This window comes from Homo sapiens, chromosome 6 (genome assembly GCF_000001405.40).
Source record: "Homo sapiens chromosome 6, GRCh38.p14 Primary Assembly".
NCBI lineage: Eukaryota > Metazoa > Chordata > Mammalia > Primates > Hominidae > Homo > Homo sapiens.
Genome location: NC_000006.12, coordinates 32,863,446 through 32,886,470, shown reverse-complemented (window position 1 = coordinate 32,886,470; position 23,025 = coordinate 32,863,446). Strand labels below are relative to the sequence as shown.

Here is a 23,025-nt window from a genome sequence, read left to right as displayed (position 1 = left end):
GGCATGGGTAAAGAAACTGGGCAGAGGCATAGTGCCTGCATGTTGGAGATTAAGGAGGGAATTCGGAACTCATTTTTCTATATATATTACAACAAAGGTTAAGTTTGGAGGTTAAGTAAGGATGCTGCAGCTCACTCATGGTTGCTTTTCCTTCAGAGTACTCATGCCTCGGCTTACCCAGGGGGACTCAAGGAGAGGAATGTGTGTGCGCATATCTATCTATCTATCTATCTATCTATCTATCTATCTATCTATCTATCCATCCATCCACCTTCTAATCTACCTAAATCAATCACTGTGTGTATCTATTCCAACCACAATGGACTCCTATCATTCAATTTCATTTAGTGGTACATCTCAGCCCAGTTTACAGAAAAGCTGTAAAGGGCTGTAAAAGGCTGTATGAGAACATAATCTGAAAAGCGTTGCTCAAAAGAGCATATTATATATTATTGGGCATTTATGAAGAAATTAGATCTCACACTGAGCTAGTTAATAAAGATTTATAATTACAAATGGGCTGCAGCATGTGATTCTGAACTTGACTATTTCCTTTTGCCCTTCAGTTTCAGACTATGATATGGATTATGATTCTCTACCACCCCCTAGTGGAAATTCATTCATTTCTTTTTAAGTCCTGCTTCTTCTAATCATTTAGTCTAAATGATTAGACTAAATGAGAAAATTACATAGTAAATATCTGGATTCACTCTTGTTATAAAAGGTTCAAACCGGCCGGGTGCAGTGGCTCACACCTGTAATCCCAGCACTTTGGGAGGCCAAGGCGGGCGGATCACAAGGTCAGGAGATTGAGACCATCCTGGTTAACACAGTGAAACCCCCGTCTCTACTAAAAACACAAAAAATTAGCCTTGCGTGGTGGCGGGCGCCTGTAGTCCCAGCTACTCGGGAGGCTGAGGCAGGAGAATGGCGTGAACCCAGGAGGCGGAGCTTGCAGTGAGCCAAGATTGTGCCACTGCACTCCAGCCTGGGCTACAGAGCAAGACTCCGTCTATAAAAAAAAAACAACAAGTTCAAACCATACAGAAGGGTACGGAGTAAAAGGTCTCCTTTGTTTCTCCCTCCTCCCCATTCCATTCTAGGTCCCAAAGGTAACTGTGTGTAGTTTGTGTTATACTAGGATATTTCCTGTGCTTTTACACATTCCAGGTATATGGCAGGAAAAATCCTGAGACATCAACTGAGGATTATTTTCCTCAGGCATCTTTCTACAACAGAGGCAGATAACGCATTTCCCCTCATGCCATGGGAGACAGACCACAGCAAAACAGCAATGACCAAAAGATTAAGATTTTTCATTTAAAATTTTACATTTGAAAACCATGGTAGGCCAGGTGTGATGGTCACATGCCTTTAACCATTTAGGAGGCTAAGGCAGGAAGATTGCTTGAGCCCAGGAGTTCAAGACCAGCCCGGACAACATGACGAGACTCAGTTTCTACAAAAAAAAAAAAAAAAAAAAAAAAGAAAAGTAAAGAAAAAAAAATTAGCTGGGCATGGTGGCGCTCACTTGTGGTTTCAGCTACTCAGGAGGCTGAAGCAGGAGGATTGCTTGGGCACAGGAGGTTAGGGATACAGCAAGCCATGTTCAGGTCACTGTACTCCAGCCTGGGTGACAGAGTGAGACCTTGTCTCAATAAATAAATAAATAAATAAAAAAAATAGAAAACCCAGTAGAGGCCAAATGAAAGAAAGGTCTTTGGAGATGAAAAACCTTAGATTACTAGATATCTGAAGTCAGCACTTGTTCCATAAATAATAGATTTGGGAAGTACTCCGGATAATCTTAGAGCCAATTTTCTTCTGTGGAAGTGATAAGAATCCACAGGCTGAAGACAGAAAGAGTGTCAGGAACTGGTTTTGGGGTCTTGCACTCTGTAATCCAGTTAAACTGTGTGACAGAGGGTCAGTGCCTCCTCCAACTCAGATATTTTGGGCATACAAGGATGGGATCAAAGAGTGTGCTGTTTCTGGTCTACGGAATATTACAAATTTGAATGAAATAAAAATATTTCTGACAGTTTCTAAACTCTCTTTTCTTAGTACTCAATAGAATGGACTGTCATCCATGCTGGGTAAGGAAAGATCTTGACAAGGAAAGGAAGGAATCAGGGTTTCATGAGAGACAGGGTTCTAGGGATCCAAGCACCATGATGAGGTAATGGCTAAGTTTTCTCTTGGGTAATGCAAAGAAAAGTTGACCTTTACTGCTGTGAAGCAAATTAGAAGCTAACCCGGGGTGCATTCGTTTGGTTTCTTCCAGAAGCAGTCCCTGACACAGGGACATGAATGAAAGTAATTTATTTTGGAGGTGCATGAAACTTCAGTAGCAGCTGAGTAAAAGATTGGGAAGGGAAAACAGCCAACGAAGGGTGAATGACTGGAACTTAATCCCCTGGGGAAATTCTGGGAAAGCACTTGCCTCAGAGTTAACCCAGCCACGGAAGGAGGGAGTTGGGCAATTGTACATCAATTCCCATTGGTTGAAGGCTGCTGCCTGACACGTGAACTCTTCGGCCCTTCTAGTCTGCTGTGAGTCGGGCAGAGTGGCCCTTCTTGGCTTTGAGGAAGCCTTCAGGAATGATGCAAATGTCCAGCCAGTGTGCACTACAGTGGTAAGGCCCAAGGAACATGGCAGGTATTAGTAGCATCAGCCATACCAGGTCTATTTCTAGTTGGAGAACCCTTAGATGACTGGAGCCTGTGATCTCTTACATCTGTAATATCTGTGATCAGAATGGAAGAATTTTCTATTGTCTTTTCCTTTTCAATTTTGCCCAAGCCTTCATAAAGTCTTGTTAAAACTTTGACAACAGTCTTATTTTTACATTCCTTTAATCAAGAAGGACAGGCCTATGTCCAAATATAGGAGGATGTATTAGTTTGCTAGGGCTACCATAAGAAATACCACAGACTGAATGGCTTAAACAACATAAACTTATTGCCGCCTGGCTCTGGAGTCTAGAAATGTGAGATCAAGGTGTCAGCAGGGTTGGTTTCTTCCGAGGTCTCTGTCCTTGGCTGGCAGATGGTTGTCTTTTCCCTGCATCTTCCTATGGACTGCCCCCTGTGTATGTATGTCCTAATCTCTTTTTATATGGATACTAGCTATATTAGGACCTACTTTCATAACCTCATTTTCACTTAATTATCTTTTTAAAGACTCTAACTCCAAAAAAAATTCACGTTCTGAGGTACTGGGTTTATTCAACATTATGAACTTATAGGGGGACACAGTTCAGCCCAAAAAGAGGAAAATGGGGCAAAGGGAAAATCCTTCTTCTCCATCTTCTTTCCTGTTCTCTCTCAAAGGCCAAGGTGAGTGAGAGCAACATTGGATCATGGGATCTTGGTTGCCCTGCAACTCAAGAGATATTTGGCTTCAACGTTAGCAGTGAGCAACAGCAGAGCTGAGAACAGTGGTATAGAACTGAGTCACACTGAGTCAGGCTACATTTCCCAGGCTAATTTGCAAACCAGAATTCCAGATATAATTTTTATTCACTCAAACTTTCCACTCATGAACTTCTTAAATGTATTTTGAAAAACTATGCACATCCTCATACATGTTTTTTAAATTTAACTTTTTATTTTGAGGTAATTAGAGAGTGACATGCAGTTGTAAGAAATAATACAGACAGAACCTTTTACCCTTTAATCCAGTTTCCCTGATGGTAACATCTTATAACACTTCAGTACAGTATTGCAATCAGGATATTGACATTTGTGTCAATGTCAATATTACAGTCAAGACAGTATTTTTGTCACTCCAAGTATCCCTTATCTTGCCCTTTTATGGTCGGTTCACCTCCTTCCCACCCCCATCACTTCCTTAACCACTGGCAACTATGAATTTTTTCTCTATTTCTGTACTTTTGTCATTTCAAGCTTCTTAATACAAAATGTTATACAAATGGATTGTGCTTTTTTTTTCTTTTCAATAAAGTTTATTTTATTTATTTATTTATTTTTTTTGAGATAGAGTCTCACTCTGTCACCCAGGCTGGAGTGCAGTGGCACCATCTCAGCTCACTGCAACCTCCACCTCCAAGGTTCGAGTGATGTTCATGAGTCAGCCTCCCGAGTAGCTGGGATTACAAGCATGTGCCGTCTTGCTTAGCTAATTTTTGTATTTTTAGTAGAGACGGGTTTCACCATGTTGGCCAGCTGGTCTCGAACTCCTGACCTCAATGATCTGCCTGCCTCGGCCTCCCAAAGTGCTGGGATTACAGGCGTGAGCCACCACGCCCAGCCTGGATTATGCTTTTGATGTCAAGCCTACGAATTCTTTGCCTGGCCCTACATCTCAAAGATTTTCTCCTATTTTTCTAAAATTTTAATAGTTTTACACTTCACATTTACTCTGTAATCCATCTTTTTTGTTTCTTTATCTATTTTTAGAGATGGGGTCTTGCTCTGTTGCTCAGGCTGGAGTGAAGTGACGTGATCACAGCTCACTGCAGTATGTAACCTTTTGGGACTGGCATTTTTCACTCAGTATAACTCTCTGGAGATTCATCCAGGTTGTTGTGTGTATCAGTCATTCTTTTTTATTGCTGAGTATTATTTCATGGTATAAGTGTACAATAGTTGGTTTAACCATTTACCTGTTAAAGGATATCTGGGTTATCTTTGGCTACAATGAGTAGGCAGTTAGACAAACATTTGCATACAAGGTTTTGTGTGAAGGCATTGTCTGTGCTTGTGTATTTGTGTATGCAAGTTTTCATTTCTTGGGGCTAAATACCCAGGAGTACAGTTGCTGGGCAGGATGGTAGTAGTATGCTTAGTTGTTGGATTTTTGTTGTTGTTGTTGGTTTTGTTTTGTTTTTAAGAAACTGCCAAATCATCTTCCAGAGTGGCTGTACCATTTTATATTCCCATCAGAAATTATGAGAGATCCAGTATCTCTTCTTCCTTGCCAGCATTTAGCATTGTCGCCTTTTTTTTTTTTTTTGAGAAAGAGTTTCACTCTTGTTGCCCAGGCTAGGTACAATGGTGCGATCTCTGCTCACCGCAACCTCTGTCTCCCGGGTTCAAGTGATTCTCCTGCCTCAGTCTCCCGAGTAGCTGGGACTACAAGCATGTGCCACCACACCTGGCTACTTTTGTATTTTCAGTAGAGACAGGGTTTCTTCATGTTGGCCAGGCTGGTCTCAAACTCCCGACCTCAGGTCATCTGCCCACCTTGGCCTCACAAAGTGCTGGGATTACAGGTGTGAGCCACCGCACCCAGCCCATTGTCACTATTTTTATTTTAGCCATCCTGATAGGTGTGGAGCGATTATCTCATTGTGGTTTTAATTTGCATTTCCCTAATGGCTAATGATGTTGAACAACTTTTCATGTGCTAATTTGCCATTTTTATATCCTCCTTAGTGAAATATTACCTTAAGTCTTTTGCCTATTTTCTAATTGGATTTTTAATGTGTTTTCTTTGTTGAGTTTTGAGAGTTCTTTATATACTCTAGATACTAGTCCTTTGTTCAATGCATAGTTTGCAAATATTTTCTCCTACTGTGTAGCTCATTTTTTCATCCACTTACCAGATCTTCACAAAGCAACAGTTTTACATTTTGATGAAATCCAATTTATCAGTTTTTCCTTTCATAGATCATGCTCTCAATGTCAAGCCTAAGAATTCTTCGCCTAGACCTATATCTCAAATATTTTCTATTTTTCTAAAATTTAAGAGTTTTATGCTTTACATTTACTCCATAATCCATTTTGTTTATTTATTTTAATTAATTGTATCTGGTAAAGGTTAAGGTATTGCATTTCTCTGACATTTTTTTTTTTTTTTGAAACAGAGTCTTGCTCAGTCACCCAGGCTAGAGTACAGTGGTGTGTCACAGCTTATGACAGCCTCGAACTCCTGGGCTCAAGCAATCCTTCTGCCTCAGCATCCCAAGTAGCTGGGACTACAGGCAGGAGCCACCACACCAACATTATTTTTCATTTTTGTGTATAGACAGGGTCTTGCTATCTTACCCAGGCTGGTCTTGAACTCCTGGACTCAAGCAATCCAATCCAGTTGGAATTAAATTTTGCATAAGGCGTGAGACTTAGGTCAAGTTTCATTTTTATTTTATTATCTTGCCTATGGATGCCCAATTGTTCCATTTCACCATTGTTCAATTCACTATTTGTGAAAAAGGCTATTTTTCTTCCACTGACTTCCTTTTGCACCTCTTTCAAAAATCATTTGGGCAGATTGTGTGGGTCTTTTTCTACGTTCTCTATTTTGTTCCACTGATTTGTGTGTCCATTCCTCTGCTAGTAACACACAGTCTTGATTACTGTAGCTATAAAACAATACTTGAAATAGGGCAGACTGATTTTCAACTCACTTTATTCTTCTTTTTCAAGAATGTTTTAGGCGTCGGCGTCGCTCCCGCCCTGGAGCTCTAGGCCCGCTTTTCCCCGCTTGAGTCTGGCGTCGGGGTCATTGTGTCTTGACAACCGCTCCGGTACCCCTTTCCGAGGCAGCAGGTGCGGCCGCTTTAGCCTTGAGCGGGCTCCGCGTCTGCCTGCTGGTCTCTGCTAGTGCCGACCCTTCTGTTCGCGGACCCCACGCCAAGCAGCGACCCTGAGCCGACAGGCGGAGCACCCGGCAATGGCGGCCTCCACGGCCTCGCAACGGCCCCTCAAGGGGATCCTGAAGGACAACACCTCTACGACTTCCTCTATGGTGGCGTCGGCCGAACATCCCCGTGGGAGTGTCCACGAGCAGCTGAGCAAAAAATCCCAGAAGTGGGATGAAATGAACATCCTGGCGACATATCGTCCAGCAGACAAAGACTATGGTTTAATGAAAATAGATGAACCAAGCACTCCTTACCATAGTACGATGGGTGATGATGAAGATGCATGTAGTGATACAGAAACCACTGAAGCTATGGCAACAGATAGCTTGGCTAAGAACTTAGCTGCTGCTGAAGGCTTGGAGCCAAAGTATCAGGTTCAGGAACAAGAAAGCAGTGGAGAGGAGGATAGTGACCTCTCACCTGAAGAACGAGAAAAAAAGCGACAATTTGAAATGAGAAGGACGCTTCACTACAATGAAGGACTCAATATCAAACTAGCTAGACAATTAATTTCAAAAGACCTACACGATGATGACAAAGTTGAAGAAATGTTAGAGACTGCACATGGAGAAAGCATGAATACGGAAGAATCAAATCAAGGATCTACTGCAAGTGACCAACAGCAAAATAAATCACGAAGTTCATAGAAGGGATTTGTTCAACACTCTTATTGTTTGTTAGATATGAACCCCGTTGCTATAATACATTGCTTCTCGTTCTCCACAAGTCATGACTTAAGTACCAAAGTGCATACCAGTTATTATATATTGCCAAGAATTAAATGAAAACCTTAAAGACTGATTAGACTGAAAATGCCTAATTGATATATATATTCTTGTGCCTAGTACTTTACCACAAATACGGTGTAATATCATCAGTCCAAAACTGTATTACTTTTGTAAAAATACTGGTTAATTTGTATATTATATAGCTTTTCATGCTTTAGAGGTTAAACAATATCTTTGGGGGGGAACTAATTTATTTTCATCACTCTAAATGTGGTGATAGCTCTTATAAAGTTTGTTGACTTTTTTTTTTTTAACCAAAAGCCAGTTGAACAACAGGATATGTATGCTGATAAATATTCAGGCTGAATAGTATTTTAACACTTGTCTTCAACTTGATTTGTCTGTTTAATTGAAAAGGATTGTGACCTCGCGCGGTGGCTCACGCCTGTAATCCCAGCACTTTGGGAGGCCGAGGCAGGTGGATCACGAGGTCAGGAGATCGAGACCATCCTGACTACCACGGTGAAACCCCGTCTCTACTAAAAAAAATACAAAAAACTAGCCAGGCATGGTGGCGGGCGCCTGTAGTTCCAGCTACTCGGGAGGCTGAGGAGGGAGAATGGCGTGAACCCGGGAGGCGGAGCTTGCAGTGAGCCGAGATTGTGCCACTGCACTCCAGCCTGGGCGACAGAGCGAGACTCCGTCTCAAAAAAAAAAAAAAAAAAAAAAAAAAAAAAAAAAAAAGAAAAGGATTGTAAGAGTTACTGTTACATTTTCTGGCCTACTACCTTTAAAATTCCTGTTGCATTTCTTTGTATTTACAAGGAAAAGACTGAACTTTTTCTCATCAAAACTAGCTTTTTTCTCACAGGTTAAACTTGCACCAATGTCTGCTCTTTTTTTTTAATGTTTTTGGTACTCTGGGCAGACTTCAGTTTTTTAAAAAATAAAGATTCTAATGCAGCTATCTTGGCATTCCCTTTAAATACCTGTCTTAACCTCCTACTTTTATTTCCTACTCCTTTCCACACACATGCATACAATCCTTTACCTTTTAAAGAATCATTAAGACTGTCACACATTAGGAACTCTTTCGCTCACTCTTCTGTCATTTGCTGCAATATTGAAATTCTTATTTTGACCATCAATGCCTATTAATTCTTCTAATACATGAAGAAAATGATTGAGTAGCAGCAGTACTATAGGTGGGAAATACAGTTTAACTGCTGAATTTTTATACCTCTCTGATTTATAGCTTGCTAATTAAATTGCTATTAATAGTTTGTTTGGCTTAATTAGACTTAAGAAAACAACAGGTTTTTTTTTTTTGAGGTTTTTTTTTTTTTTTTTTGCATGAGGAGAGAATTGTATGTAACCAGTGATATGATTATTCCTGAATGTACAGACAGAAGTAAGCCTGGACATTGTTTAATTTAAAAACTTTAGTCCCTGCTTTAAGGGAATATGATAATGTATACTATGACAAATGTACTTTATTCTTCTAACACAGTAAGAATTACTTGGAACTTTTTCCTGAAACTAAGTGCAGGAAAGCCCTGTGTGTCTTGGTTTAGTGATGGTTTCATTTCTAGCCATACAACTGATGGATTGTATACAATTTTTGTTAGTGCCAAAATAATCTGTTATATGAACAGACTTCTAAAATAATTTCTGTATATTATATATGTAAGAAGGCTTTTATTGAACAGCTTATTTTCCACTTGCAAGTTTATGGAAATATCAATATGTCAAAATAAAAAGTGGGACAATTCTTTGCTGTTAGAAGAATGTGCTTATTATTTTGATTTCTTAAATGGTACATAATCAAAGTACTGCTGAACTATAGGTGCAGTATTCTACTAAACATTTCAGCTAGTAATACCACTGATTTAGAAACAAAACTGTTTATTTTTGCTTTCTGAATTTAGAATGCTGGGATTACCTGTTTAAATATGTTTTAGGGAATATAGAGATTAAATCTGTACATACCTGTGCACATATATTCATGCACCCTCTGATTTTGGTTTTCTCGTTTTTGAGTTCTTAGAAAGTATCCACATACTCTTCTTTTAGTAGAAGTAGCTGTTTTAGAGAGAAGAAAAGGATGAGACTTTAAATAGTTGATTCTTTTTGTGTTTTCTACAAACTTTTTTGAATTTTAAATCACAAGCAAACTAATTTTCTGGTTTTTAGAAAGTAGATGATGATTTCAGAGGAGTAAGACATGCCAAACAGCGTGCTCGGTAGGATTTTAGGTAGTCAAATGCAGCTGAGAAAAAGTATTTTCAAGTCATAAGTTGCTAATTGATATGCTATGAACTAGTCAAAATAGGAACCATATGATTCATGTTAGATTTTCCTCTAGAGATGGATCTGAATGTTCAGTTCCAGCCAAGGTAGATTTTACTTTCAACTTTTTAATCAATATCACTTTCTGTGCTTAATCTCTTTGGTGTTACCTTGTCCATTTTCATTTGTCTAAAATTCTGCAGGGATGACTACAATTTGGCATAATGGTATAAATGAATTGTTAAGGGTAACTTTAAGTTGAAGATTAAAGCAAGATGCCATTTTCCCCATGTCTTTCATTTTGTTTACATTTTTTCCCTTTAAGTTAGTATACACTACACATACTACAATAAAATATAATAATATGAAAAAAGAATATTTTAGATATTCTAGTCCCTTTGCCTTTCCATGTAAATTTTAGAGTAATCCTACCTATAATTAACAAATCTTGCAAAGATTTTGATTGGAATTGTGTTAAACTTGTATATTGGTTTGGGGAGAATTGACATATTTACTATATTGAATCTTCCAATCCATGAACAGTATTTCTCTCCACATAGATAGAGACTGAATAGATCTTCTTTGATATCGTTCACCAGCATTACATAGTTTTTAGCTTGCAAGTCTTGCATGTTTTGTTAGATTTACACATAAGTGTTTCATGTATTTGAGTAATTGTAAATAATATATTTATATTTTTGGGCCAGGCGCGGTGGCTCACGCCTGTAATCCCAGCACTTTGGGAGGCCAAGGTGGGCGGATCACAAGGTCAGGAGATCGAGACCATCCTGGCTAACACGGTGAAACCCCGTCTCTACTAAAAATACAAAAAATTAGCCGGGCATGGTGGTAGGCGTCTGTAGTCCCAGCTACTCCGGAGGCAGGAGAATGGCGTGAACCCCGGAGGCGGAGCTTGTGGTGAGCCGAGATCGTGCCACTGCACTCCAGCCTGGGCGACAGAGTGAGACTCCGTCTCAAAAAAAAAAAAAAAAAAAGAAAAAAAAAAAATATATATATATGTATCATTTGTTCATTGTGAGTATGTAGAAATACAATTGATACTGGTTTATCCTGTATTCTGTTAATTTGCTGAAATCACATATCTAGAAGTTTTTCTGTAGCTTCCTTGTGATTTTCTACATAGACAATCATGTCACTTACAAATGGGAGCTGTTTATTTCTTACTTCACAATCTGTATGCCTTTAATCTCCTTTTTCATGCCTATTGCACTGTCTAGAACTTCCAACACTGTGAATAAGAGTGGTGAGAGTGGACATTCTTGCCTTGTTCCTGATTTTAGGTAGAAACTATTCAGTCTTTCAGAATCAAGTATGTTCACCATAGGATTTTTGTAGACGATCTTTATCAAGTAAAGAAAGATCTCCTCTACTCCTATATTTCTGAGATTAAAAAAAAATAATGAATGGGTGTTAAAGTGGGTTAAATACTTTTTCTTCATCAATTGATATGAACAAGTAAATTTTCCTCTTCAGCCTATAATATGATGGATTACATTAATTAATTGTGAATATCCAACCAGCTTTGCATCCCTGGGATAACTCTCACGTGGTCATTGTATATAATTCTTTTTATATGTTGGTAAATTCCACTTGCTAATATTTTGTTAAAGATTGCTGCATCATGAGGAATATTAGTCTACAGTTTTCTTTTCTTCCCATTGTCATTGTTTGGTTTTGGTATTGAGGTAATTCTAGCTTTATAAAATAAACTGGGAAATGCTTCCTCTGCTTCTATTTTCTGGAAGAGATTAATTGGTGTTAATTCTTCTTTAAATCTTTGGTAGAATTCTTCATTGAAACTATTTGTTCCTAAATATTTCCTTTTGTGAGTTTTTAAATTATGAATTCAATTTCCTCAATAGGTGTAGACATTTTTGAATTATTTTATATTTAGTGAGTTGTGGCACTTTATATTTTTTGAGAAAATGATCCATTTAATTTAAGTGTCAAATTTATGTGTGTAGAATTGTTCATAGTATTCTTTTGTTATCCTTTTGATGTCTGTAGAATCTTTGATGATATCCCATTTCATTTCTGATGTTGGTAGCTTCTATCTTCTGTCGTCTTTTTTTCTGAGTCTTGCTAGTGGTTTGCCAATTTTATTAATCTTTCAAAGAGCCAGCTCTTTGCTTCATTGATTTTTTTTTGCTTTTGTTTTTCTGTTTTCAGTTTCATTGTTCTGCTTGCTTTTTATTTTGTTATTCTTTTACTAGATTCTTGAGGTGAGAGTTTAGATTATTGGTTTGAGACTTTTCCTCTTTTCCAATGTATGCAGTTAGTGCTTTAAATTTACTTCTCAAATGCAAATCAAAACCACAATGAAATGCCATCTCACGCCAGTCAGAATGGTGATTATTAAAACTCAAGAAACAACAGATGCTGACAAGGTTGTGGAGAAATAGAAATGCTTTTACATTGTTGATGGAATGTAAATTAGTTCAACCATTGTGGAAGACAGTGTGGCAATTCCTCAAAGATCTAGAACCAGAAATACCATTTGACCCAGCAATCCCATTACTGAGTATATACCCAAAGGAATACAAATCATTCTATTATAAAGATACATGCACTTGTATGTTCATTGCAGTACTATTCACAATAGCAAAGACATGGAATCAACCCAACTGCCCATCAATGACAGACTGGATAAGGAAAATGTACATATGCACCATGGAATACTATACAGCCATAAAAAGGAATGAGATCCTGTTATTTGCAGAGACATGGATGAAGCTGGAAGCCATTATCCTCATCAAACTAATGCAGGAACAGAAAACCAAACACCACATGTTCTCACTTATAAGTGGGAGCTGAACAATGAGAACACAAGGACACAGGGAGGGGAAAAACACACACTGGGGTCTGTCTGGGGCGAGGTTGGAGGGAGGGAGAGCATCAGGAAAAATAGCTAATGCATGCTTGTCTTAATACCTAGGTGATGGGTTGATATGTGCAGCAAACCACCATGGCACATGTTTACCTATGTAACAAACCTGCACATCCTGTACATGTATCCTGGAACTTAAATTTACCTCTTATAACTACTATAACTGTATCCCACAAATTCTGATATGGCATATTTTCATTTTTGTTTAGTTGTGTTTATTGTGTGTATTTTTAAAAAATTTCCTTGAGACTTCCTCCTTGACCCATGTATTTCTAAGTGTGTTGTTTTGTCTCCAAATGTTTAGATATTTTCCTGTTGTTGATTTCTGGTTTGGTTCCATTGTGGTAGGAGAACACTTTCTTTATGATTTTATTTAAAAAATTTGTTGGTCTTTTATTGTCTTAGATATGGTCTATCTTGGCATATATTCTGTGGGCACTTAAAAAAATGTTATTCTGGCTGGGTGCAGTGGCTCATGCCTGCAATCCCAGCACTTTGGGAGGCTGAGGTGGGTGGATCACCTGAGGTCAGGAGTTTGAGACCAGCCTGATCAACATGGTGAAACCTCATCTATACAAAAAATAAATAAATAAATAAATAAATAAATAAATAAATAAAAAATTAGCCAGGCATGGTGGTGTGTGCCTGTAATCTCAGCTACTCAGGAGGCTGAGGCAGGAGAATTGCTTGAACCTGGGAGGCAGAGGTTGCAATGAGCCGAGATTGTGCCATTGTACTCCAGTGTGGGCAATAAGAGTGAAACTCCATCTCAAAAAAAAAAAAAAAAAAAGTGTATTCTGCCATGGAATACTATGCAGCCATAAAAATAATGAGATCACGTCTTTTGCAGGGACATGGATGGAGCTGGAGGCCATTATCCTTAGCAAACTATTGCAGGTACAGAAAACCAAATACTGCATGTTCTCATAAGTGGGGGCTAAATGATGGACACATGGACACAAAGAGGAAAAACACATACTGGGGCCTATTGGAGGGTGGAGGTTGGGAGGAGGCAGAGGGTCAGGAAAAATAACTAATGGGTACTAGACTTAATTCCTGGATGATGAAATAATCTGTACAACAAACCTCCATGACACTGTTTACCTATGTAACAGACCTGCACATGTACCCCTGAACTTAAAATAAAAGGAAAAAAAAGAAAAAAGAAAAAGGAAAATCTCGTGGAATCTACTAAAAGCAACGAAAAAGAAAATAATGTATCTTCTGTTGTTGGGTGGTGTGTTCTATAAATGTTGATTAGATCTTATGGTTTGATGTTGTTTATTCTTCTATGTTTTTTCTCAATTTTTGTCTATTTGTTTAATCAATTGTTGAGAGAAAACTATTGAAGTCTTCAACTATCATTGTTGACTTGCCTATTTTCTTTTCAGTTCTATCAGTTTTTGCTTTACATAATTTGCAGCCCTGTTGTTTGGTGCATACATATTTAAGATTGCTATGTCTTTTTGGTAGATTTACCCTTTTATTATTACATAGTGTTCCTATCCATTTCTAGTAATTTTCTTTGTTCTAAGTTTATTTGATATTAATATAGCCTCCCTTTATTATTTTTTGTCTGATATATGTTTTTCTATCCTTTAACTTATAAACCGCCTATATCATTATATTTGAAGTGAGTTTATCATAAACAGCAAATAATTGAGTCTTTTTTTTTTTTTTTTTGAGACGGAGTCTCGCTCTGTTGCCCAGGCTGGAGTGCAGCGGTGTGAAGTGGTGTGATCTCAGCTCACTGCAACCTCCACCTCCCGGGTTCAAGAGATTCTCCTGCTTCAGCCTCCCGAGTAGCTGGGGCTACAGGCTTGTGCCACCACAGCTGGCTAATTTTTGTACCTTTAGTAAAGATGGAGTTTCACCATGTTAGCCAGGATGGTCATCTCCTGACCTTGTGATCCACCTGCCTTGGCCTCCCAAAGTGTTGGGATTACAGGCGTGAGCCACCGCACCTGACAGAGTCATATTTTTAAATCTATTCTGCCAAGCTCTGTCTCTTAAAATTGATGTATTTAGGCGATTTATATTTCCTATAATATTGTTATGTCCAGGCTTAAGTCTGACATTTTATTTTCTGTTTTCTGTTTGTTCTCTCTGTTTTTCATTTCTTTGTTTTCTTTTTCATTGCTTCCTAAATAATTTTAAAATTCCATTTTAATTTATCTATAGCTGTGTGTGTGTATGTGTGTGTACCTCTTTGGATAGCTCTTTTAGTGGTTGTTCTAGGTATTACATTATATTTATGTAACTTATTTATTGTCATTAATTACCAGTCTGAGTGATGTGTAGAAATTTCTTCTCTCTTTGTTTACCCTCCCTCATTTATAATTGCCTGTAATATTTTCTCTATATACATTTATAACCATATGATACAGTATTATACGTTTTTCTTCAATCCTATAATTTAAATAACTCAAGAGAAGAAGTAAAGTCCATTTTTTAACCCATATTTTTTCTTGCCATGTTCTTTCTTCCTTCCTGATGTTCCAACTGTCCTCAATTTAACTTTTTGTTTTTTTAGGGTAGACCTGTTAGTGACAAATTCTGTTAGTTTTCCCTCATCTCTGTATGTCTTAATTTCCCTGGATATTTTTGCTGATATAGTGTTCTAAGTTGATATTTTTTTTTCCTTTCAGCACTGGAAAAAGGTGGTGACCTCCTTCGGGCTTACACAGTTTCTGATGAAAATTTTGCTCTGTCATTTTTTTCACCTGTTAGATGTCATTTATCTCACTGCTTTCAAGATTCTTTTTATCTTTAATTTTTAGTTAATTACTATGATTTTGGTGTGGCTTTCTTTGGGTTTGTCCTATTTGGGGTTCACTCACCTTCTTAAATCACTAGGTTTATGTCTTCTGCCAAATTTGGGAAGTTTTCAACCATATTTATTTGATAATTTTTTTCAGCTTCACTCTCTTTTTCCTCTCATTTTGGGACTCTGAGTACATGAACATTAAATCTTTTGTTATAGCCCCATGGGTCCCTGAGGCTTTGTCCATTTTTTCCAGTGTATTTTCTTTCTTTCTTTTGTTCAGATTAAGTGATTGCTATTGCTGTGTCTTCAAGGTAGCTAATTCTTTCCTCTGTTCTCTCCTTCTGCTGCTGAGCTTATTTACTGGGCTTTTTATTTTGGCTATTGCACTTTTCAGTTCTAAAATTTCCACGTTTTCTTCCGTATATATCCTATTTTTATGCTGAAACATCCTATTTTTTTCTTTTCTGCTCTTTTCTTCTTCTTTCTTTTTTTAAACCACTGAACTGGACATCCTATTTTTTTCATTCTTTTAAGTGTTAATTGCTCATCAAAGCATTTTAATAATGGTGGCTTTAAAATCTTCATCAGGCTTTTCTTTCCGTTTTGGCATCTATTTTATTGTCTTTTAAAAATTCAATTTGAGATATTCCTGGTTCCTGATATGACAAATAATTTCCAATTGAAACTTGGACATTTCAGGCATTATGTTATAAGGCTATTGGTCTTATTTAAACTGTTTTAGCTGGCTTCTTTTAACACCTCTCCAGCAGGTAGGCAGGTGAGCTTCATGACGCCAGGTAGGGGTAGGAGTCCAGGCTTCTCACTCTGCCTTCATTGACACCTCAGATAGGTCCCCATTATTACTGAGTGGGGACAGAAATTCTGGCTCCCTATTAGGTGCCCACTAATACCTCCCTGGTTGGTTGGGAGAGGAGTGCCACTTACTATCCCTCACATGACCTTTATTGACACCAAGATGGGACAGTGGAGTGGAGGAGTGAGTGGTAGGTATCAGGGAGTGGTTGCTGGATTAACTCTGGGTGGTGATGAAAATCCTGACTCTCCATTAGGCATTGTCTGACATCACCCTAGAGGAGAGGGGAAGAGATGCTTCATTACTGTTGGGTGAGGAATGGAAGTCTAGGTTTCCATTGACATTTCAGGGGCTTGGGGAAAGGAGTACATTTTCACCAAGAGGGCATGACCATCCTGACTCCCTATTCACTTTCTCTGACACCATCCTGGTGTGTGTGCATGTGTGTGTTGAAGTGTTGGGTTCCTTATGACAGCCTGGTGAGGGTGAAAGTCTAGGCTCCTCATTTGACCTTAGCTGGTGGGGGTGGAGTCGCAGTTTTTTCTGTGGTGTTTGGCTGGCCCCATTACCCAAGATGGAGTGTAGTGGTGCGATCATAGCTCACTGTAACCTCGAACTCCTGGGCTCAAGTGATCCTCCTGCCTCAGCCTTCAGAGTATCTAGGACTATGACACATCGAACTATGCCTGACTAATTTTATTATTATTATTCATAGAGACAGGGTCTCATTATGTTGCCCAGGGCTGGTCTTGAACTCCTGGCCTCAAGCGATCCTCCTGCCTGGCCTCCTTCCCAAAATTACTTTAAATGATATAATAGCTGACAGCTTGAATAGGTCCTCTTTATTTTGTTGGAGGCAGAGTGTTAGAAGTGACCTAACAAAAAGGATTTGTTTCTTGTCACTAGACTCATTCACTGTGTCAATGAGTGTGTCAGTGGTTTGTGGGAAGCAAACTTAAATGAAAATGTATATTTTTAATTAAATGTTATGAGATGCTTTTTTTAAACTATTGGCTCTTGTGAATTTCAGAAAAATATTGCAAGTCATTTGACTTAGCTACTTAGCTTGCACTCTATGTAAAAATTTTAGAATTTTACCTCTTTGAAAAACTCCTAATATCAATAGTGATATTGTTGTTTTGCAGCCTCAAATGATTTTGTTACTTTGGACTAATTTTCACTGAGCTAGTTAATAAGTGACTTTTTATTGTCTAAAAAATTCTTAAGTGTATCATAGAGAGAAAGATTATTGGGTCACTAAGTGGCTTTCTATATATATACCTTTGTCCATATTTAATTTTTGCAAAACTCAAATTAAGGTGGTAAACTTAGTGTGGATATACATTCATGTATTGTATTGATAAGATTAACTACGTTTTAAAACTAAAGTGGAAAGTTTTAAACAAAATTGTCATTCAACTATATATGTATTTCTGTAAAACACACACGTAATGATGAATTCGAATTAATAAGCAAAAAAGGAGAGGATTTGTAATTTAAAATTGATCTTGGAATATACACTCTACACTTAAGACAGAGAAAAAACTTTTTCTTTCCCTTTAGCATAATCTGCCCAGCTAGCGGTGGTTTCTTATCAGAATGCTCTCACTTAATACCTTGATAACTTTTAGTGCTTTGTGCTGATAGCATCAAGTTTTTAAATTATTTTAAAAACAAACAACAACAAAAAACCATTTGCTTCTGAAACACCTAAAGTTTCTTATAATTGTTACCTTCTTTATGTTTATTTTCAAATGTTTTATTGTCACTCTGGTTATTGAGATATCAAAGTTATAACAATTGCTCACTCTCAGGTACCTATGCACTTAAGTGACCAGTTTCTCTGAAAATTCTTTTTTGTTGTTGCCTTCTTCCAACCTCATACCCTGAATTCAGAATACTAACACTGTCAAGCTATTTTTCACGCCCCCAAATCTTTGTTTTTTCTCACTAGACAGCCACTACCCATTTGGCCACTAGGTGGCGCAAAAGGCTTAATTTTTCACCTTCCTCCGCCTACTGTGAAGGAAGCTAAAAGTAATTAGATGTGTTTGGCATGATTTTTATATTTTAAATTAACGCTGTACTATCAAAAGAACTACCTGTGTCTCAAACCCACAATGTGGTAAAAGCTGACAAATAAAAAACAGTAGCTCAATTTTCTAGATTAATTTTGTCCAGGTTAAAAATATTATTGATATATGTTTTAGTGACCACATAGGTTTCAGTAAGGGTAAAAGGATGCTCTTGTTCGTACTCCAAGTCTGGCATGGTGACTGTCAATACATTCATTTTGAAGAAGATTTTGCTTCTGGGTTTAGCCCTAAAACAGGCCAAATAGAGACGATAAAATGAGTGGAACTGAATTAGAGCATTTCTGAAAAGTTTTATTTGGTTAATTCTGCCCCTTAAGGTCAGAAATTGTGTAGGAAAAGTGTTTCAAAATTATAAATAAGGCAAAATTGTACGTGCTTGATTATTTTATATCACACTTGAACCTTTGCTCATAATTCTGCCTGATCAAAACCAGAGTGTTTCAGGGATTGTAATTTGCCTAAGACGAACCCGGCCAGCCCTGTGCGATTAGAGGTTAATCAGCAGAGAGCTGATAAGGGATGCTGGCTTTCTCTTTTTCTCCGGTAAAGAAGATAACACCAAGGTTATGATTTTATTGCCCTCTAGCACGTTAGCCATTTTGAATCTCTAGCCTAGAAATTATTTCCTCACAGAGAGATACAGCTCTGTTTTTCAAATACTCTTTGGATCAAGGCTCTTGTATTCTTGCTGGTTCCCTCTTTGAGTTTGATAAAACTTTGAAAAGTCTACCAAAGAAATTTCTCTCAGAACTAGACTTTAGAGAGGAAATGCTGGAACTACGGATGAGAGGCACATGTATGTACAGGGTCAGACCACGCAGAGAGCAGGTCTGATGAGCCACACCACTGCTGCTGCCCCATGGCTTCTAGACGCTGCTGTTGGTTCTGTTGTTAGGACCTGGAGGTTGCTGCAGCCACCACTGAAGACACCTCCTAAACCACTTCTGTTTCAGGAACTTCACTTAAAAAAAAAAAAAAAAAAGGAAAAAACCCACCGCTTCCCCAAAAGACAGTTGCTTCTTCTGTCACCTTTGCCAGAGAAATAAATACAGTAAAAGGTGCTCTGCAACCCCCACACCCTGGTTCCTCCTGTGGCCCCTTTGTAACTGAAGTCTTAGGTGGATGAATTTAATTGGTGGAACTTAGGTGCTCTAGCTTCAAAGAAGGCTAGGGGAAGTGAGCTTTCTGGTTTCCACTTTAGGGAGGCAGGACTCAAAAGGTAGGGGAAATTTCACAGTACTCTAAAGGTGTTCAAATCCCATGGGCAGCCAGTAAACATCACAGGTGTGAGGTGCTGGGTGGAGTGGCTGCCGTGAATATGTGTTTTGGTTCATGGACTACATCAGTGGCTCTTAAAGTCCAGTAATTCACAGATTCATGAGAGATAATAAAATGATTATTTTTGTTTTAAGCCATTAAGTTTGGAGTTGGTGTGCTGCCCAGCAATAGATAATGGAAACATACAGTATGTATTTCTGCAAGTCTGGCTTCTTCACTTAATATTGTTTCTATGAGATTCGTCCATGTTGTTACATTTTCAGTAGTTGATGAAGTTTCATTGTTTACATAGTACTGTGTTGCACGAATAGACTACGTTTTGTTTATCCATTTACTGTTGAAGAACCATTTTGTTAAACAATTTGAGAGTAATCTGTGGAAATTATGCCACTTGACCCCTAAATATTTTGTCATGTATAATTTAAGAATAAGGACATTTCTCCTGCAAAACCCTAATACTGTCATCACCCCCAAGATACTTAAAATTGATACCATATTATCAAACACACAATCCATATTAAAAAATCCCCTATTGTCCCAGTAACACCTTATAGTAAATGTCTGTTATTTTAAGCGGGTGTCATTCATTACATGGCAATAGGTAACTAATACGGTGAGTCTGCTTCTTCCAGCAAGGACCCTCAGGGGGTGCGGTGATTCATAGTTCTCACTCAGACTTCTCTGTGTCTGCTCATATGTCCCTATTTCATATCTCAGGGTCCGGTCTATCCCAACCAGGGGTCTTGCCTTATCACAACAGCTGCTGTTGGATGATGCAACAAACATTTCTACAACTTCATAACCTTTATCATAAGCCCCCGGGCTTGACCCTCAGCCATATCTGTGCTGGGTTGCAGGAGAAAAGATAGCCTTTAAAACTGCTATAGAGGCATTTACAGTTTTTCATTCATGTCTTGAGTTTGGATTAAAGGCTTTTAATTTGTCTTTTTTTCCTTTGTATGCTCTTGAGGGCAGTCTGACGCAGCCAGTCTCTGAAGGTTGGCACAAAAGCCTCCATCGAGTCACCCAGCTTTTGCCTGGTACCTATCCTAACCTAAAACCTTGCCACATGTTACCTTGGCGAAAGGCCAGTGCCACACTTCAGTGATGATTCGGCTGTCCTACTTGGTTAGAACCGAGTTCACTTCCTTCCTCAACACTCCTGCCACATTGATCTGGAAGTTTCACCTTGAGCCAAGTGATAGTTAATTTTATGTGTTAACTTGGCTAGGCTATGGTTTCTAGACATTTGAATACCAGTCTAGATATTGCAGTGAAGGTATTTTTTAGATGAGATTTACATTTAAATCAATAGATTTTGGGTAAAGCAGATTACCCTCCATAATGTAAGTGGCCCTTCCAATCAGTTGAAGGTCTTAGGGGCAAAGACTGAGGTCCTCCAAGGAAGAGGGAATTCTGCCTCTGGACCACCTTCAGACTCAAGCCGCAACATCAGCTCTTCCTGGGTCTCCAGCCTACCTGCAGATTTCGACCGTGCCAGCTCCCACAGTAGTATGAGCCAATTACTTAAAATAAATCTCTCTCTGCCAACATCCTATTGGTTCTGCTTCTCTGGAGAATCCCGACTCATACAAGCCACTTTCTATAGAAGGCTGTTTCTTCGAGAAATCCACCCTCTTCTATGTCAACAGAGTTTAGAATCTCCATACTTTATCTCTTCATTTTTGAGAACATAAATTCTGTATTACACATACTTATACTATACTATATATGAAACTTTCATAAACATTGCTGGGCAAAGTTGAATATTGCTGAACCAATTTCCGATGCTTCTGAATAAGTTCAATGGAGTTAAAACATTTTTCTTCTTACATGGTATGTCCAGTGCCCCAGAGCCAGCAGAGTTAAGAACTTGGTAAGGAAGACCAAAGATAATCCATATATTCTAGTTTGTTATATAATATAAAACATGTTTATTAGATTCTAAAAGACATAAAAAGAAAATAATACATGTGTATCAGTGAGAGAGGTGCAAATTAGGAAGAGAACTAAGGATTATTCTTAATTCCTGCCTTCCTTTCTAAATCCCAATCCTCAATTGAACTCTTTAATTATATTTCCTGTTTATTTTATTGAATGGAAAAAATGGAAAATTATCTAACATTTGTCATGGAAATATAGGAGAAATTACTCTCAGAGATATGATGTTATTTAAGTCATTGACATATTGTTAACCTCAGATGCAAATGGTGGAATTAATAATATTCCTCAGTTCATGGTACATAGTCACTGTTGGTCTAGTGCTAGTTTGTAGTTGTATTTGTATTTTTTATTTTTTAGAAATACGGTCTTCCTTTGTCACCCAGGCTGGAGTGCAGTGGTGTGATCACAGCTCACAGTAAGCTCAAACTCCTGGGCTCAAGCAATCTTCCTGCCTTGGCCTCCCAAGTAGGTAGGACTACAGGTGCATGCCACCATGCCAGCTAATTAAAATGTTTTAAATTTATTTTTGGTAAATGGGGTCTTGTTATGTTGCCCATAGGCTTTAGTGCTATGATAAGCTAGTAATTATAGTGAACATTCTTGTCTTGGATACCCAAGGTTTTTCCGTTATGTATACTAGTGGTTACAGATTTTTTGGATTATAACCTTTGCCAAAATAGGAAAGTTTTGATTCCTGCTTCCTTAACTGTTTTTCAAAAATCACAAATGGATATACTTTACCAAATGTCTTTTATTAATAGACTGAGCAAAGGAAATGACTTTTCTATGAATATGGTAAATTATAGCAACAATATGTTTTATTATATTGAACCACCCTAGTATTCCAAGGATTCCCTATTTGATCTTGATGTATCATTATTAGCATAATCATTATTATTATTGTTATTATTATACATATTTTTAGAGACAGGGCCTTGCTCTGTTGCACAGGCCGAAATGCAGTGGTGCAATCATAGCTTACTGCAGCCTCAAACTCCTGGGCTCAAATGATCTTCCTGCCTCAGCCTCCCTAGTAGCTGAGACTACAGGTGCTCACCATCACACCTGGCTAATTTTTTAATTTTTTGTAGAGACAGGATCTCACAGGATCTCAGTATGTTGACAATGCTGGTCTTGAACTCCTGGCCTCAGGCGATCCTCCCACCTCGGCCTCCCAGTATTATTATTTGTAATATTGTTGAATTCGGTTCATAAATAATTATTTTTTTCTCCCATCTGTGTTCAAGGTGAAATGGGTCTATTATTTTTTTTTCCTTGAGTTTTCCACAACTCAATTTGGAGTCAAGATTACACTCGGCTGATAAAATTAGCTAATCAGGTTTAGTTTTTTTCTGTTTTCTGGAAAAAGTATATAATATAGAAGTTTCATGTTCCTTGAATGTTTGATAGAACTCATCTGTGAAACCATCTGGGCATTTTCAAAAATATATTTTTTTATTAGATGCCATTGATAACTTTAAAAATTGCTTTAATACTCATTGGTATAGTCAAGTTTTGTATTTCTTTTTGTGCTAATTTTGATAGATTAAATGTTTCTAGGAATTTGCTTATCTCACCTAGGTTTTCAAATTT

General features: G+C 38.0%; 1 pseudogene; it reads left to right on the top strand.

Annotated features, from left to right (window-relative positions):
- Positions 6,397-9,993, top strand: PPP1R2P1 (protein phosphatase 1 regulatory inhibitor subunit 2 pseudogene 1; annotated as a pseudogene).